Source organism: Homo sapiens, chromosome 7 (assembly GCF_000001405.40).
Source record: "Homo sapiens chromosome 7, GRCh38.p14 Primary Assembly".
In the NCBI taxonomy this organism is placed as follows: domain Eukaryota; kingdom Metazoa; phylum Chordata; class Mammalia; order Primates; family Hominidae; genus Homo; species Homo sapiens.
The window spans coordinates 11,838,577-11,854,954 of NC_000007.14; positions in this window are offsets into that span (position 1 = coordinate 11,838,577).

A 16,378-nucleotide genomic window follows, 5' to 3' on the forward strand; every position below is an offset into this window, starting at 1 on the left:
ATTCCAACCACATATCAAAAATAATATACCACAATCAAGTGGGTTTTATCTCAGAGATGAAAGGATGGCTCAATATGTATAAATCAATAAAGCGATATATCACCTCAACAAGATGAAGGTCAAAAATATATTATCACCTAAAAAGATATAGAAAACAGCATTTGATAAAATCAACATCTTGTCATGATAAAAACTGTCAACAAATTAGGTATAGAAGGAACATATCTCAATGAAATAAACACATATATGTTATATATATGACAAACCCATAGCTAACATTATACTCAACTATAAACTTCCCTCTTAGGACTACTTTTGCCAAATCCTATGAGATTTAGTATGTTCCATTTCCATTTTCATTTGTCTCAAGTTTCTTTAATTTCCCTTCTAATGTCTTCATTGACTCAATTGTTCAGGAATGTGTTGTTTAATTTCCATGTATTTAAAAATTTTAAACGTTCTTTATATTATTGTTTTCTCTTTATTCCATTGTAGTCAGAAAAGACACTTGATATTATTTAAATCTTCTTAAGTTTGTTAAGACTCATTTTCTGGCATAACATGATCTGTCTTGGGAGAGTACTCCATGTGCACTTGAGAAGACTATGTATTCTACAGCTACTGGGTGGAATGTTTTGTTTATGTCTGTTAGGTCCATTCAGGCTAGAGTATAGTTTAAGTCCAGTGTTTTCTTATTGATTTTCTGTCTGGATAATGTGTCCATTGCTGAAAGTGGGGTGCTGAAGGCCCCTACTTTAATTTTATTGTAGTCTCTCTCGGCTATATTAATATTTGATTTACATATTTAGGTGCTCCAATGTTGAGTGCATATATATTTACAATTATTATATCCTCTTGCTGAACTGAGGTTTTTATCATTATATAATAACCTTCATTTTCTCTTTGTTTCTTTTTACAGTTTTGACTTAACATCTATTTTATCTGATACAGGTATAGTTACTCCTGCTCTTTTTTTGTTTTTATTTGCAAGAAATATCTTTTCCATCTCTTTACTCAACATATGTGTATCCTTAAGACGCATATAGTTGGGATTTGTTATATTACGCACTCAAACATTCTATGCCCTTTGATTGGAAAGTTTAATCGATTTACATTCAAGGTAATTTTTGATAGGTAAGAACTTACTACTGCCAAAATTGTTTTCTAGGTGTTTCATAGATCATTAATTCCCTTCCTCATCTCTTGCTGTCTCCCATTATGGTTAAATTATTTTCATTAGTGATATTCCTTGATGCCTTACTTTTTATTTTTAGTGCATCTACTATAAATTGTTGGTTTCTGGTAACTACCAGGCTTACAAAAAAGTTTTTCAAGCTGAGAACAACTTTGATTGCAAACCAAACCAAACCAAACAAAAAAGTATACTTTTAATCTACCCCCAATTTTGATTTTTTAAAACTGTCACAATTTATATATGTATATACGCTTTCTATGTATATACATATGTTTATACGTGTGTGTGTGTGTGTGTGTGTGTGTATATATATATATATATATTTATTTTTGAGACGGAGTCTCGGTCTGTCACCAGGCTGGAATGCAGTGGCACAATCTCAGCTCACTGCAACCTCCACCTCCCGGGTTCAAGCGATTCTCCTGCCTCAGCCTCCCAAGTAGTTGGGTCTACAGGCAAGTGTCACCGTGCCCAGCTAATTTTTGTATTTTTAGTAGAGACAGGTTTTCACTATGTTGGCCAGAATAGTCTCCATCTCTTGACTTCATGATCTGCCAGCTTCAGCCTCCCAAAGTGCTGGGATTACAGGTGTGAGCTACCGCACCCGACCTATAATTTATGTATTTTTAAAATGCATATGTCCTAAAATTTATTGATACTATTACTACTTTCTAATACTTTTGTCTTTTAACTGTCGTACTAAAGATATAAATGATTTACACACAACTGTTACAATATCAGAGTATTCTGAATTTGACTATGTATTTTACCAGAAAATTTTGTACTTTTAGATGTTTTCATGTTACTCATTAGTGTTCTGTTCTTTCACTTATATAACTCTCTTTGGCATTTCTTATAGGACAAGTCTGGCTGTGATGAACTCCCTCAGCTTTGGTTTGTCTGTTGAATTATATACCTATACTTCACATCTGAAGATAAATTTTCTAATCACAGTATTCTTGATTAGCAGTTTTTTCCTTAATACTTTCAATATATTATCCCACTTCCTCCTGGCCTATAAGCTATCTGCTTATAAATCTCTTGCTAGTTATACTGAAACTCTGATATAAGTTTTTTTTTTCTTTTCTTTTGCAGCTTTCAGGATGCTTTATCTTTGATTTTTGACAGTTTGATTATAATATGTTTTGGGAGTCGTCCTGTTTATATTTAACCTGATAGGAGACCTTTGACCTTCCTGTACCACATTCTTGTATCTGGATATTTGTAAGTTTCTCTAGGTTTAAAGATTTTCTGCCTTTGTTTCTTTAAATATGCTTTCTACCCCTGGATTTTTACCTTCTCTCTCTTGAACAACACAGATTAATAAGGTTATTATTTGATATTGTCTCAAAAATCCCATAGGCTTTCTTCATTTCTTTTTTCTTTTTTCACCTCTGACTGTACATTTTCAAATAGACTGTCTTTCAGTGTATAGGTTCTTTCTTCTGTTTCAACAGTTTTGCTGTTGATGCTTTCTATGGCACTTTTAATTTTATTCATTATAATTTTTAGCCAGAATTTATATTTTTAAAAATTATTATTTCAATCTTTCTGCTGAATTTATCATTCTGGCCATTTATTTAATTTTTCATTTCATTGAATTGTTTCTCTGTATTCTCTTGAATTTCACTGAGGTTACTTAAAACAGTTATTTTGAATTTCTGTCAGGCAGTTCATAGATCTCCATTTCCTTAAGGTCAGCCACTGGTTTGTCCCTTTGGTGATGTCATGTTTCTCTGATTGTTCTTGGTCTTTGTGGTCAGTTGTTGGTGTCTGATCATTTGAAGAAGTAGGTACATATTCCAGCTTTTGCAGACTGGCTTTGTCCAGAAAAGCCCTTCAACAGCTCATTCATAGAGTCTAGTCAGATTGTGTGATGTGGCCCATGAAAAGGCTTCTTGCTGGAGTCAGGGCTAGCTGGACTGGTGCCTAGGCCAGCAGGTAGGCAGATCTGGAGCCTGGATCCATGTGGGCCTAAGCTTTTATCCCTTGGAATTGGTCTGAAGCCCATGCCCACTGGAACTGGCAAGTTGCTGAGGCAGGCCCAGAGCCTGGAGCCACTGGGGAGTTCTGACACTGTGAGACATGTGAAACCAGGGGTAGCTGAAGTCAGTTCAGCAGTGATGCAAACTGGAGATAAAGTTCTCTGTGCAGGCCTGAAGTCTGGGGCTGTGGGGTCTTATCTGGTGTTGGGGTGGATGTGGAAACTCAGTTTGCAGGTATTGGCCTGGAGTCTGGAACCATGGGAGCCTGCCAAATGCTAAGCTTTATTCTGGTGGCTCAGGTATTGTGGTCCAAGGCAAAGTCCTGGGCTCATTTTCCTCTCTCCAAAGTGGACAATGCTTCTCTCTACACAATGCTGCCTGGGGTTGTGAAGGGGTACTGTAAGTAATGTAAAACTATCCTTCCTAACCTCTGCAATATGTCTTTTCTTATTTCTATGCTTCATCCAGGTGTTGTAACCCTTCCCCTGTATTTTTTTGCACTTGTGGAGGTATTTTCATTTATGGATAGTGTTTCAAATTGATGTTTTTGTGGAAACACAATTGTTGGAGGATCCCACCTTCCCCATAGTTCGTTCACATTTAATGTGATTATTTATATGGTTAGACGTACATCTATCATTTTGTTCTTTACTCTCTATTTGTTTTATATAATTTTTAAATAACAGGTTGACTTAGATATAATTTTGTTTAGGATATACAATTTACTGTCTTATTCACAGAGTTGCATAATCATCACCATCGTATAATTTTAGTACTTTTCCATTGAAACAAAAAGAAATTCCAAACTTATTATCAGTTACTCCCATTCTCCCTTTGCCCCAGACTGCAACAATCGTTAATCCAATTTCTATCTCTGCGGATTTACCTGGACATTTTATATAGATTGAATTATATAATATGTGGCCTTTGTGAATGGCTTCTTTCATGTAGCGTAAGTTTTTAAGGTTCATTAATAGTGTAACAAAAATCAGCACTGCATTGCTTTTTAAGGCTGACTAATATTTTATTGTATGGGTAAACCAAATTTTCTTTATCCATTTGTCAGTTGATGTGCATTTGGGTTGTTTCTACTGTTTGGTTATTATGAATAGTGCTGCTATGAATATCTATTTACATATCTTAACTGTTTTGTTCCTCTTTTCCTCTTTTATACCTTATTTTGTACTTTTTAGCATACCATTTTTACCCTTTGGAAATAAAAAAATTTAATTATATTTAAATAGCCATGAACTTCTTAATGGTTACTCTATGGACTACAGTATCTACGTCATCCTTTCACAGCCATTTCAGAATATTATTAACTTATTCCTATAAGATAGAGAATTATTGCCCACTATCACTCCTTTTCCTCCTCTCTGTAATGTGATCTGTATGTTATAACCTTAACAAAAAAGTGTTATAAATATTGCTGCATAAAATCTTATATCTTTTAGAGATGTTAAGAGAAAATATAAATTTATAAAATATTTTATGTGTACTAAACATACCATTTCTGATGCTCTATATTTATTTCTGTGGGTAGAGTTACTGTCTGGTTTCACTTCCTTCCAGACCTATAGGTTTCCATTTAGTATTTCATATAAGTAGGTCTGCTGGGAATGAATTTTCTCAGACATTGCTTATCTGGCAATTTCTTTATTTCCTCGTCATTTTTGAAGGATTGTCTTGTTAGATAAATATTTCTTGGTTGACAACTTTTTTGTCTTTAAGTATTTTGAGTATGAGCTTCCACTGTCTTCTGACATCTACTGTTCCTGATCATAAGTTAGCTATTTATATTAATGTGGTTGCCTTGCACTTGATGAGTCATTTTTCCCTTGATGCCTTATGCTATTTTCTTATTCTAGGTGATGGGAATCTATTCTACTCTGGGTTTTTTTTATGTTTAAGTGATTACATTCATATTTCTCATCAAATTTGTGAGATTTTTGAACACTATTTGTTAAAATATGTTTTTTCCTGCCCCCTTCTCTCTTTTCTATTTTTGGGACTTCCATGACCTGCTTGTTGAAATGCTTGATGTTGACTCACACATCATTGAGGCTCATTTTATCTTTTTTCTCCTCTAAATTCATCCGATTAAATATTTTCTATTGATATATGTTCAAATTTACTTAGTCATCTGTTCTACCCTCCAAGGAGTCACGGCTACTTTCACCTTTTGGCTTCATATCTCAAAATGTGGTCTATGTGGTTGCCACTGAAAAGAAGAATAGGGCAAGAGAGCTATATCAGATGTTTATATTATCTTTCTATATAGACCTTTGGCAAAATGATATTATATGGCCCCAATCTAATTACAAAGGAAATTGGTAAACTTATCTCCTTATATACCTATTATGAAGAAAATAAAATGGATTTGATAAAACATTAGCATTAACTCTTCCATAAATTTCTATATTCAGGTAATTGTGTCACCTAAGAGGCTTATGGGGTTTTGGGGTTTTGTCTGTTTTTGTCTGCTTACCTGAATATCATAATATCACAACCCCCCACATGTTTTATCTTTTTTTTTTTCTTTTTTTTTGGACACAGAGTCTCGCTCCATTGCCCAGGCTGGAGTGCAGTGGTGCAATCTTGGCTCACTGCAACCTCCGCCTCCTGGGTTCAAGCAATTCTCCTGCCTCAGCCTCCCGAGTAGCTGGGACTATAGGCGCCCGCCACCACGCTCAGCTAAGTTTTGTATTTTTACTAGAGACAGGGTTTCACCATATTGGCCAGGCTGGTCTCCAACTCCTGACCTTTTGTTCTGCCCATCTCGGCCTCCCAAAGTGCTGGGATTACAGGCGTGAGCCACCACGCCAGGCCTAACCCTCGTCATGTTTTCAAGTCAAATTGTTAGGCCTTTAGGTAGACAAAAGTGGATTAGAAATCACTGAATATAAAAATTGGATTTAATTATCCAGAGAGCTAGCAGGAATTTAGTCAATAATGATGGACCTTTATTAGGGCTCAACTCCAATCAAATAAGAAAGCAAATTCATAATGGAGGGAGGCTAGAGCAATCAGATCATAGAAAGGGGAAAATATGTGCCCTTAATGAAAGAGGTAAACTGAAGTTTCATGTTGCATTACCCTTTTAAAACTCTATATTCAGACTCAGGTTTGAATAAAAGGTTATCACACTTAACTTCATAAGCCCTTAGCTATTATTCACAAAATGAATAGCTTTCCTTGGATTGTGCAGCTTGATAGCCTTGCTTTATACCTCACCTTCAGAGTATAAAATGCCTCTGAATTTAGGTCTTCTGGGTGAATATTTTTGCTATACTCTTTGAGGCATTTATGGTCTCAACTTCCTCCATTTTGCTGAGTTATTTAAAACAGTTTTCTCTTGATTGGATTTTTAATTGTTTAAATAAACTTTTTTGATACCACTTATTGTATTAGAGCCTCTCTTGTTCTATTTGGCTTTATGCATTCATACATTTTAAATTCCCCTGTTGATGTTTAGCTGGGGCTTCGAACTAAAGCAGAGATAATTCTTATGTTCAACTTACTTAATTGAGAGTTTATGTTTTATTTTCTATTTTCTTGTATTTTTTAAAATCAAATATAAAAGCAAAATGTTTAACATTTAGTTGACTGGTGTTCATTACTTTCACACATAAAGTATCAGTTAAACCTATAATAATCAGATGAAATAAGTGGGAATGATACTATTATGTGACAAATGAAAAAAATTAAGATACACAAGTTTAACAACTTTTCCATGTAGTTAATGATGAGTTTGGAAGTAGTGGAACACCATGAGTTCTCTGTACATAGAGTTGTCTTAACTGGGGACAGCTTCTGAAAATCAGTGATTCTGTAAATAACGTCTTTATTGAAAAAAATAATAAACATAATATTTGCCGAATTTAAATTTGCTTAAAGGAGTACAAAGTCCACAATAGGTAAAAGACAAATACTTGTGAAAAGAGGAAAATAATTTGAATCAACAATTCACATGCCTAAAATTTTAAAAGAACTGGTTTTCTATTTACTAATCAGAAAGGAAGAGAAACAACTGTGCCCCATTATTCCAGACATGATAAATATGATGAATTCAAGGACAACAATTTCCTAGGAGAGTAATGCATCTTGGCATATATAATTACCCATAAATGAACTAAAAAAGTAAAGCTTTCCTTTGGCATATAATTTAATTTATAAAAGTTATATTTATTCTAGAAAAATTGACAAATAATTTTGGCAGGCTTGCTACTAATATTTTAAATTGATTCTTCTTTGCCTTTTAAGAGACTGGCCTTCCTTATATTTCTGCATATGGGGTGGTGAACAGAGACCAGCTGTGCACTATATCTTATCATTTACAAGTATAAGATGTATTCACTCTTGTGGACTAAGATATGCTTACAGCTCACACTCTATGCTTCATAATTCAATTAAAAATCTGTATTTACGCTGACTTCACCATTTGGCAATGAAAACCAACCTCATTATAAGATAAAGATATGAAAATTTGAGAAGAAAAGCAAATGTTAGTAAATTAACTCCATCCATTGTGCTAATCCTATGTTGACAGCACCCATTGCTAGCAATTTTCTCAAGCTGCTAATACATGACTGTTACTGAAAATAACATGAAAAGCTTTCTAATTAATTGCTGCTGGTAGATCTGCCACTTCCAAAAGTTTTTCCCCTTGAGATACAGATGCAAACTTGTCTTGGCACATGACAATATACTGTTTTGCAATTTACAAAGAAAATAGTTTTTCTTTCATTTGCTAATAAGGCACAGAACATGTTGCAATAGATTTCAGAAGTTGATAAAAAAGGGGTAAAAGGTATTTAAAACAACTCTTTTCTTTCTAAGTTGAATGTCGGGTTAAAAGACGCCAAGTTGGCTGAACAATAGCTCACCATCTAAGTTTACTTGACTCAACTAAGAAGAGATGAACATAAGCAGCTAAGTAGGGATGTGAATAAAAGCAGTTCTTCAAAACTGTTGGCAGGCAGTACTATTTAAACCATAACGTGTTTCACTTCCAAATCGTTGTGAGTGCTCAATGTAAATGAGTTGAGACTGCTGTCAAAATTCCTTATAAACACGTGTGTTTCTAAGGGAAAAGTGAGAGAAACCACATCTTGCAACTGTCTGAATGTTCTAAAATTGTTAAATTTTTAGTCCAAATTAAAAATAGGAATCTAACACTAACTTAAGAGTAACACCATCAAAATTGTGCATTTTAAAAATCTAGATCTGAGCTCTTCCCAGTGTTTACTGAGTTCTGACCCAATGGTTGTGGAAAAGTTTATAATATCCATTTATTTTATCATAGTTCTTATATGATCCTTATTATGTCTCTCCTATCAAGCCTTCAGTGAAAATGTGCTCATTTATTCAACCAATGGAAAACACTTTTACAGTATCTATTATGTGCCAAACACTGTGTCAAATTCTGCAGACAGAGGGACTTTTATATAACATGCATCATTCACTGAGCCTTCATGAATGCATGACACTGAGCTTGAAAACATTACATGCTAGCCAAACATATTCTTCCACTCTAGGACAATGCGATATATATGACTGACATTTGTAAACAAAGATAAAATGTAATATGAAGAAAGAAGACAGAATCAAGAGAAAAGCCCACTAATGTATTAATACCCAGGATATCACATTGATATGTAAATAAACTAACAGTGAGCATTATCCTCGATCAATACTTTGCAGAGTAAACTCCTCCAGATAGGCAGCCCCCACAGTGTGTAATGAGCAGAAACTTCATGCTCTCTGTGTTGTCATTGCTGATGTTTGAATCCTGCTGTTTTCACATTCTGGGCTGCTGAGATGACTGTATATTTTTGGCAGCTGAAAGGGAAGCTTGCTACGGTTTCTTCCATAACAAGCAAAAGACAAAACCTATAATCCATCTTAATTTCACCCCATGTAACTTGAAAGATGGTATTGGTGTGTAGATAATAGGAAGCATCACTGATAATGGCTAGTATGGAAGAAAACAAAAACCGAAAGCAAACAATAAAAAAATATTAACTCAATGGGTTTAAATTACAAGAAATTTATCTTCAGTAAAATGGAACATAGAACCAGATCCAATTATATTTCACCAGCTTATGCAATCATGGGGGCTACTAATGGATTATTTCTCCTTAGGTAAAACAAAACATGTTTCACAGAAAAAAAAGTAAGTAGAGATTTTTTAAATGGATGATAAGTTGTGGCAGACATTAGCAAAGAACTTTTGTAATGAGTAAGAGCACTGATGTATTTCATTCTTTTAGATTATACAAGTACAGAAGAGTACCGATGCTGGTTCATTTTAACCATTTACTTAATATATTCTCACGAAATTCCTGTTAAGTGTATATGTTTATCCCTGACATAATATAGTCTAATTCCTTAGTTTACCATGAATTTTTTTAAAAACCTGCTTTATATTAATCTTCATATTGGACTGTTAGCACCATATTCTTCAGTCATTAAAATGAAGTATCTTAACCACATAATAAATAAACCTAATGCTTACCTCTAAGCAGTAAGTACTTAAATAGTAAACATTTGCTTTACAGCATGTTTTCTCTGTGTAAATTATGATTTTTTGCAACATTTATTTAAATCGCTTTCACTTTTATTGCATTGCGAAAGTGAGATCATATTCTTTGTATGCACTTCATTATCTCATTTGATTGGGTTTTAATTCCTGCAACATACAGCAAAGGCTGATGTGCCTTTTGCAATTTGAAACAGTGGTTGCATGCTGAGAATAATTAGCTTCACTAAGGCAGAACAAATGATTTCTTTGCAAAACACCAAGTCTGTGTTTCAACAAAGATAATCACAGAATACCCAAGTTATCTCAGGTCTTCGGGTATAGTGGTTACTTTGTGTTTAATTAACATTTTTGTAATCTTAATTCTCTAATAACGATAGTGACCCAGAGATTATCACAAAGAATGTTATTTTTGAAATCTAGGGATGGAAGACTTACTTATTTTAATTGATTAATTTAATTTGTCGGTTTCCATTAAAATATGTATTTATGTGGATAATTTATCAAATATTTGTTTCTAATCATAATTTGGGCAAAATAATGTAATTGTTGGCTTTGGCTACCAGAATGATAGTGGTCTATCCTTCCTGCCCAAAACATCCTGAACTTTTGAAGATCTTTTGTTAGTCTAATAGAAGAACATTTATTAGAAAACTAATTAGCAGATTTTTCTATACTTCTTTTAGTGAGATAATACGAATATGGTAATTAAATCCCACAAATCAAATTGTATTGAAGTCATTTGGTAATAGCAACAACAGAGAAACTATTATAATTTCTTCCAATTAGGAGGCTGATCTTTAACACCAGGAAAATCTGCATTAAGAAGTTCATTCAATTGTCTATATTTTAGTTAAGATTCTGATTGAGTTAATGATTATTTTAGTACCTTGGGTGAAAGCGTTAATCAGAGTTCACTGTGCAACAAAAAGGTCATGAGTGCATACTGCTCTGAAATTAGACTCTTAACTTTCATATCTCTACAAGGCTGCAGGAAACTTAAGTTGTCATCTTCGCTGAATTACACAGACCCATTTAGCCTCTTACCATTCCGGATACCAGTGGTTTGACAAATCTACTTCCCTGCAGGATTCCCTCAACTGCTTTGACCCTGATGCTATAGATAAATTATTCCTCTAAAATGTCTCTGGACACGGTGAAACCCCATCTCTACTGAAAATACAAAAAATTAGCCGGGCATGGTGGCGGGTGCCTGTAGTCCCAGCTACTCAGGAGGCTGAGGCAGGAGAAAAGTGTGAACCCGAGAGACGGAGCTTGCAGTGAGCCCAGATTGCACCACTGCACTCCAGCCTGGGCAACAGAGTGAGACTCAGTCTCATAAATAAATAAATAAATAAATAAATAAATAAATAAATAAAGTCTCTGGAATAATTAGGTAAACACAAAGTTTAAAAGGTTTAAACTTGTAGTCTGTATTTAAATCTACGGCATTACTGGAAAACAGATGATGGAACCATAATCATCAAATTGTTTCATTCTATAACACCAATTTTAACCCTGTATGTTAACAGATTTATGTTATCCTATTATTTGCTTGTGACATGAGGAATGCTTTAAAGACCTAAGAAATTATTCTCACGTGGAGACTATTTAAGTCATCAAGATGTTTAGCACTTTTTGGAATGTGAGTTTTATCTTCAGAATTGTCAACTCTGAGCACAATTTTGAAATGTAAACTCACCTTGTAGAATAGGAGCTCTACTAAGCTGCACTTGGTTAATCTAGATGCCAGCCCAGTTAGCAAATGTAATGAAAGTAATGAAAATTACCTGAAGATTACTGAAAAAACAATAAAAGAGAACTTAACAAAAACAGAGTTGAATTCAAAGAGTATGAAATTCAAAGAGTAAAATAGTTTGTCAAAGAACATTGCTTAATTTTACTCAACTTTTTATAATAAGTATTTATCTAATTATGTGTGTTCTTTACACCCCTGAGTATCCAGGGAGGTGTCTAAATTATTTTGCTCAGTAAATAACTTAGATTAGGTTCAAGATGTTATACTTTGTACTATTTAAAATATTAATTGATATTTCACAGTGAGGTAGAGACATAGAACTCATTTTCTCCTACTAGTACCTTTCAAGTAAACCCTCTTTCCTTTTTGTTTGTCAAGTATTCAACTTTAACATTGTAGATTTTTTCCTTTTTAATGAAATCCCATTACTGCCTGTGTTGGTTCTATTAGGTTCAAAGGTGTATTTATTTCCTTTAGCAAATTTGAATTCAAAGGAGGTTTAAAAAAAAGGAAGTGTTCATTGAAATATCCTGTTGCAGTGAGAGTTCATTTTTGTTGCAAATCACATTTAGTTGCCTTAGCAACACTTTTATTTGAAAAGTTCATAGTGGATCAAACCCTTTTAAGAGAATATAATTAGGAAACGACAGCAATTACTAAGAATATCATGGTATTGAAATAGTTTAATAACTAGCTTAGAATTGGTGATACCAGTGACAAATTATTGAGGTTTCTTATAAAAGGATGATGGCTTTTGTGCAGAAGCAGTTAAGTGACAATAAAAGAGGAATTGCCTTTTTTTATATGTAGTGACAGAAGATTAATCTCATTGTGCACCAGTGAAAGGATAAAGCATAGCAAGATATAAGTATCATTTTATCCTCTATAAAATAATAAATATCACCAAACTCATTATTTTTTATATATTAGTGAAGTAGCCTATCTCTCTACTATTTGAAATTAAACAAATCAACATACAACTTTATGAAGCATACTGTCCCAACACATTATGCTTGACTCATGGAAATAAATTTGTTTTAAATAAAGCAATACAGACAAATCATCCTGACTGAGGAGAACATCCTGATGTGATGCTGGATGAGGAGGGGGAGGGGATAGCAAAGAGCTATGTCGATGTTTGCCAAAGTCATCTTGCCTTTAATTTTCCCAAGCCTGGCATCAACAAGGTCTCTGAAAAAATGGTGTTGGCCTGCCATGTCCCCAAATGCCATCATTTTTAATGAGAATGTTTTATTCAGTTTTATAAGAACTGTGCTATTTAATTGTTTTTTAATGTTGTACTCTGTTCGAAGTCTTTAGATAATGCATATTATTTTTCTTCTTTGATAAGTTTATTTAAAATTTAATAATTCACATATAGAGTTATTAAAATGTGATTTGAAGTTGTAGCGGTTTATCTTGTCTCATTGAAGCTAGCACAATACTAAGATATACAATAATAACTGAAATATAACCACAAAATAAAATCGCAAGTTAATTTCACTAGTAAATATTAATGCAAAATTTTGACATAAAATATTGGCTAATTCAGATATATAATAGAGAAATAGAATAAACAATAATATTATTTAGAATCACGCCCAGAATGCAAGGATGGCTAGATATTAGGATTTATACTATATATTTTCCCATATTCACGGGAAAAGAAGATACTTTGTAACTATCATAACACACTAAAAATAAATTTGATAACATTTCTTATGAAAAAAATTAAAATAAGAATAGATCAATATTTTTATAAATGATAAGAGTCATGATTCCTATCATGATCACGTCAAAGTAGTTATATTTTTCTTATATAAAACATTCAAATGTATTCTTACTAAATTATTGAACAAGACAGAAATGCCACTATTGCCATGAAATTTAACATTATTCTATTAGTACGAGTACATGTAGTTAGACAAGAGAAAGAAATAAGATGGATAAATATTAGAAAAGGGAGTAAAAATAACTGCTAATTGAAAATTACAACATCACATATCTATGAAACTCAAAGATATCAATAGAAAAATATTGTATGCAAATTTAAAAATTCAGAAAATATCATGTTTAAAACAGAAATCAACCACTTTTCTGAAAATTAAGAATAATAGGTTAGAATTTCCATTTATAATTGATAAATGAGACAGGCTAAACATACTTAGGAATTAATAAGTGTATATAAGACCTATATAAAATTTTTGAATTCTCCAAAGGGAGATAACTAAATAAAATATTTACCTATTTAAATGTAAACAGCTCATTTTCTCTAAATTATTTCATATGTTCATTAATCCATTTTATATACATAAATTTTTTTACATTAATCCTTGTTATTAAGTGGTAGTAAAATACACAGAAGGATATTTCTAAACCAAACAAATGGACTCTAACATTTCTATGGAAATATAGACTTGTGAAAACAGTCAATGTGATAAAGAAGGAATCTAAATCTACTTGGTAAACACCATTTCAGTTACAACATGATAATGGCACAACTGGAGCTATGTAAAGCTGTGGAGCTGTAGACAAGTTATTGAACAGAAGTCTTGAAACAAACCAAAGTTTATGGAAAAGTTGAGAACATGAAAATAGGGGCATTTCAAATTAGTAAAGAAAAAATAAAGAAAACAGGGAATGTTTTGGACAAATTGTGATCCATTGCAAAACAAGAACAATGAATTTCTCCTCACAATTTAATAAAAATTACAGATGCATCAAAGAGACAATTGTGAAAAAAAATGAAATTGTAAAAATATCAAAATAAAATGTGGGAGAATATGTTTACAAATCTGGGGTGAAAAAGCCTGTCTAAGAAAGTCAAATATTCAGAAGCCATGAAGAAGGCAGATGGTTTCTTCATAATTATTTGTCCCATATAGTTAATAAGATAACTCACCAAAAATAATATCATATGACAAAAAATTGGAAAATGCTTTTGCTATACTTTCCTTAATTGTTAACATATAAAACCTATAATATATTAAGACAAAAATTTAAAAAATATTATTAGAAAGTAAAAGTTTATGGATAGGCAATTCACTGAAAATGATATATGATTGGCCAAGAGACATGAAAAAATGTTTAATCTTAATCATAACTTTTAAAAAATAACATTTAAAATAGTAATGAGTAGCCAATTTTTAATGTATTATATTAGCCCAAATTAATATGTTGAATAATATCTAACAGAGTACCTACATGTTTGTCTGTCCAGCAATCCTCCTGGTGAAGAAGCACCATTCTCAGATTCTACAGTAACTTATCTTATTCCATCTCTTGCATAAATGGTTAGCCCCGCTATTATCCCCCAGTTTCAGGAGTAGCCACATGCTACTATACACAATGCTATTGAGAAGTCTGCATCTCACACTCTATACATGAAATCCTAGCAAGGTAGAAACTTTTTTTCAGGTTGACAGTTGTCATCAAGACTAAAAGGGCAATATAGCCTTAATTCTGTCAAATCCTTCAGAGGTTTCTCCTGAATATTTAATATGCAAGATATAAAAGACATTTCTTTTTAATTTTTTGTCCTGAAATGATATTTGAATTTTGTCCTCAAATAGGCAAATACCATTTGTATGATGGGGAAATAAAGCTATTTAAAAACGAAAAAAACTCTAAAATTAAATAATAGCATAATTAAAAATTCATATTGGAACAGTAAGTAGAATTAACAATGCACAAACAAAATGTGTGGTCCAGAGGACAAATGAAAGAATCATATGGAAAATGCTATGAGAAAGGTCCTAACTGAAATTCAGTGACCAAAGTGATGATAAAGATGGGAGCTAGATGGTATGGAGCCAAAGTAGGTATAATCGGCATTCCAGAGGAGAAAACACAAATAACTGGAGCAGAAGAAGTAATCACATTTAGAAAAGTTAGAAAAAAACTCCCCAAATTAGAAAAGGAGTCTTCATTTTAAAAAGTCTTGTGATAATTTCTGCAAAACAATTAGTGAAATGAGGTCCACTCATACAAATAATAAACATAACATGGGATAAGGAAAACAATACCCTCAGTCTTTGACCATTGAATTAAAGTTTACTTGTATGTTTATTCGAATAATGTAATTTAGAATATTGACTTGTTAGACATGCATTGAACTTGCTATGCTATGTATAGAAAATGTTTCATATTTTCAGAACTCTCTTTATAGTTTAAAAAGTCAGAAACGGATTACTACTACTCTTCCTCCCCTCTGTAGGAAACTTGAAGTTACTCTCAGAAGTTAAGGCAGGGAGATACGGAGACACCACACAAAGCTGAGTGTGGAGGTGAGGAACTCTTCTGAAATGGGTAGACAGAATGGATAGTTGCATACTGAATTAGAAACCCTCTATTCTTTCCTTTCATATAGCTCTCAGAATGCTGGAAGCAGGGGATATATTTTTCAAGAGGAAAACTCCACAATACTTGATTGAGGAATCCCACCAGCCCCAAAGAAAAGAACAGATAGATTTTCAACGAACAACATTTACCTATGCTTATTGAGTATCCAATTTGATTTTTAGTACTTCCTTCTCAAATCTCAATACATAATTCGTTGAAAAGCCTCTAAAACTAAAGACAGATGCCAAGACATATACATACACATGTTTTTAAAAAATGAAGGGATCAGATAAAATAATGAAAGAAAAAATATCAATAATATGCTCAGAAAAAAATGAAATCAGGAAACAGAAACAAGGATGCTATAAAAACGAAGAATCAGAACACATGAAATAACACTCGAAACTTAGGAGTTTGGCAATTGAAATTAAAAATTACACAAGAGTTTTATTAAAGTTGAGAAAAAAGAAAACTTCTCCAAAGTAGAAGTAAGCTGAAGCTTAAAAAACAAACAAACAAATACACAAAAACAAAAACAAAACCTGTAATTTCTAATT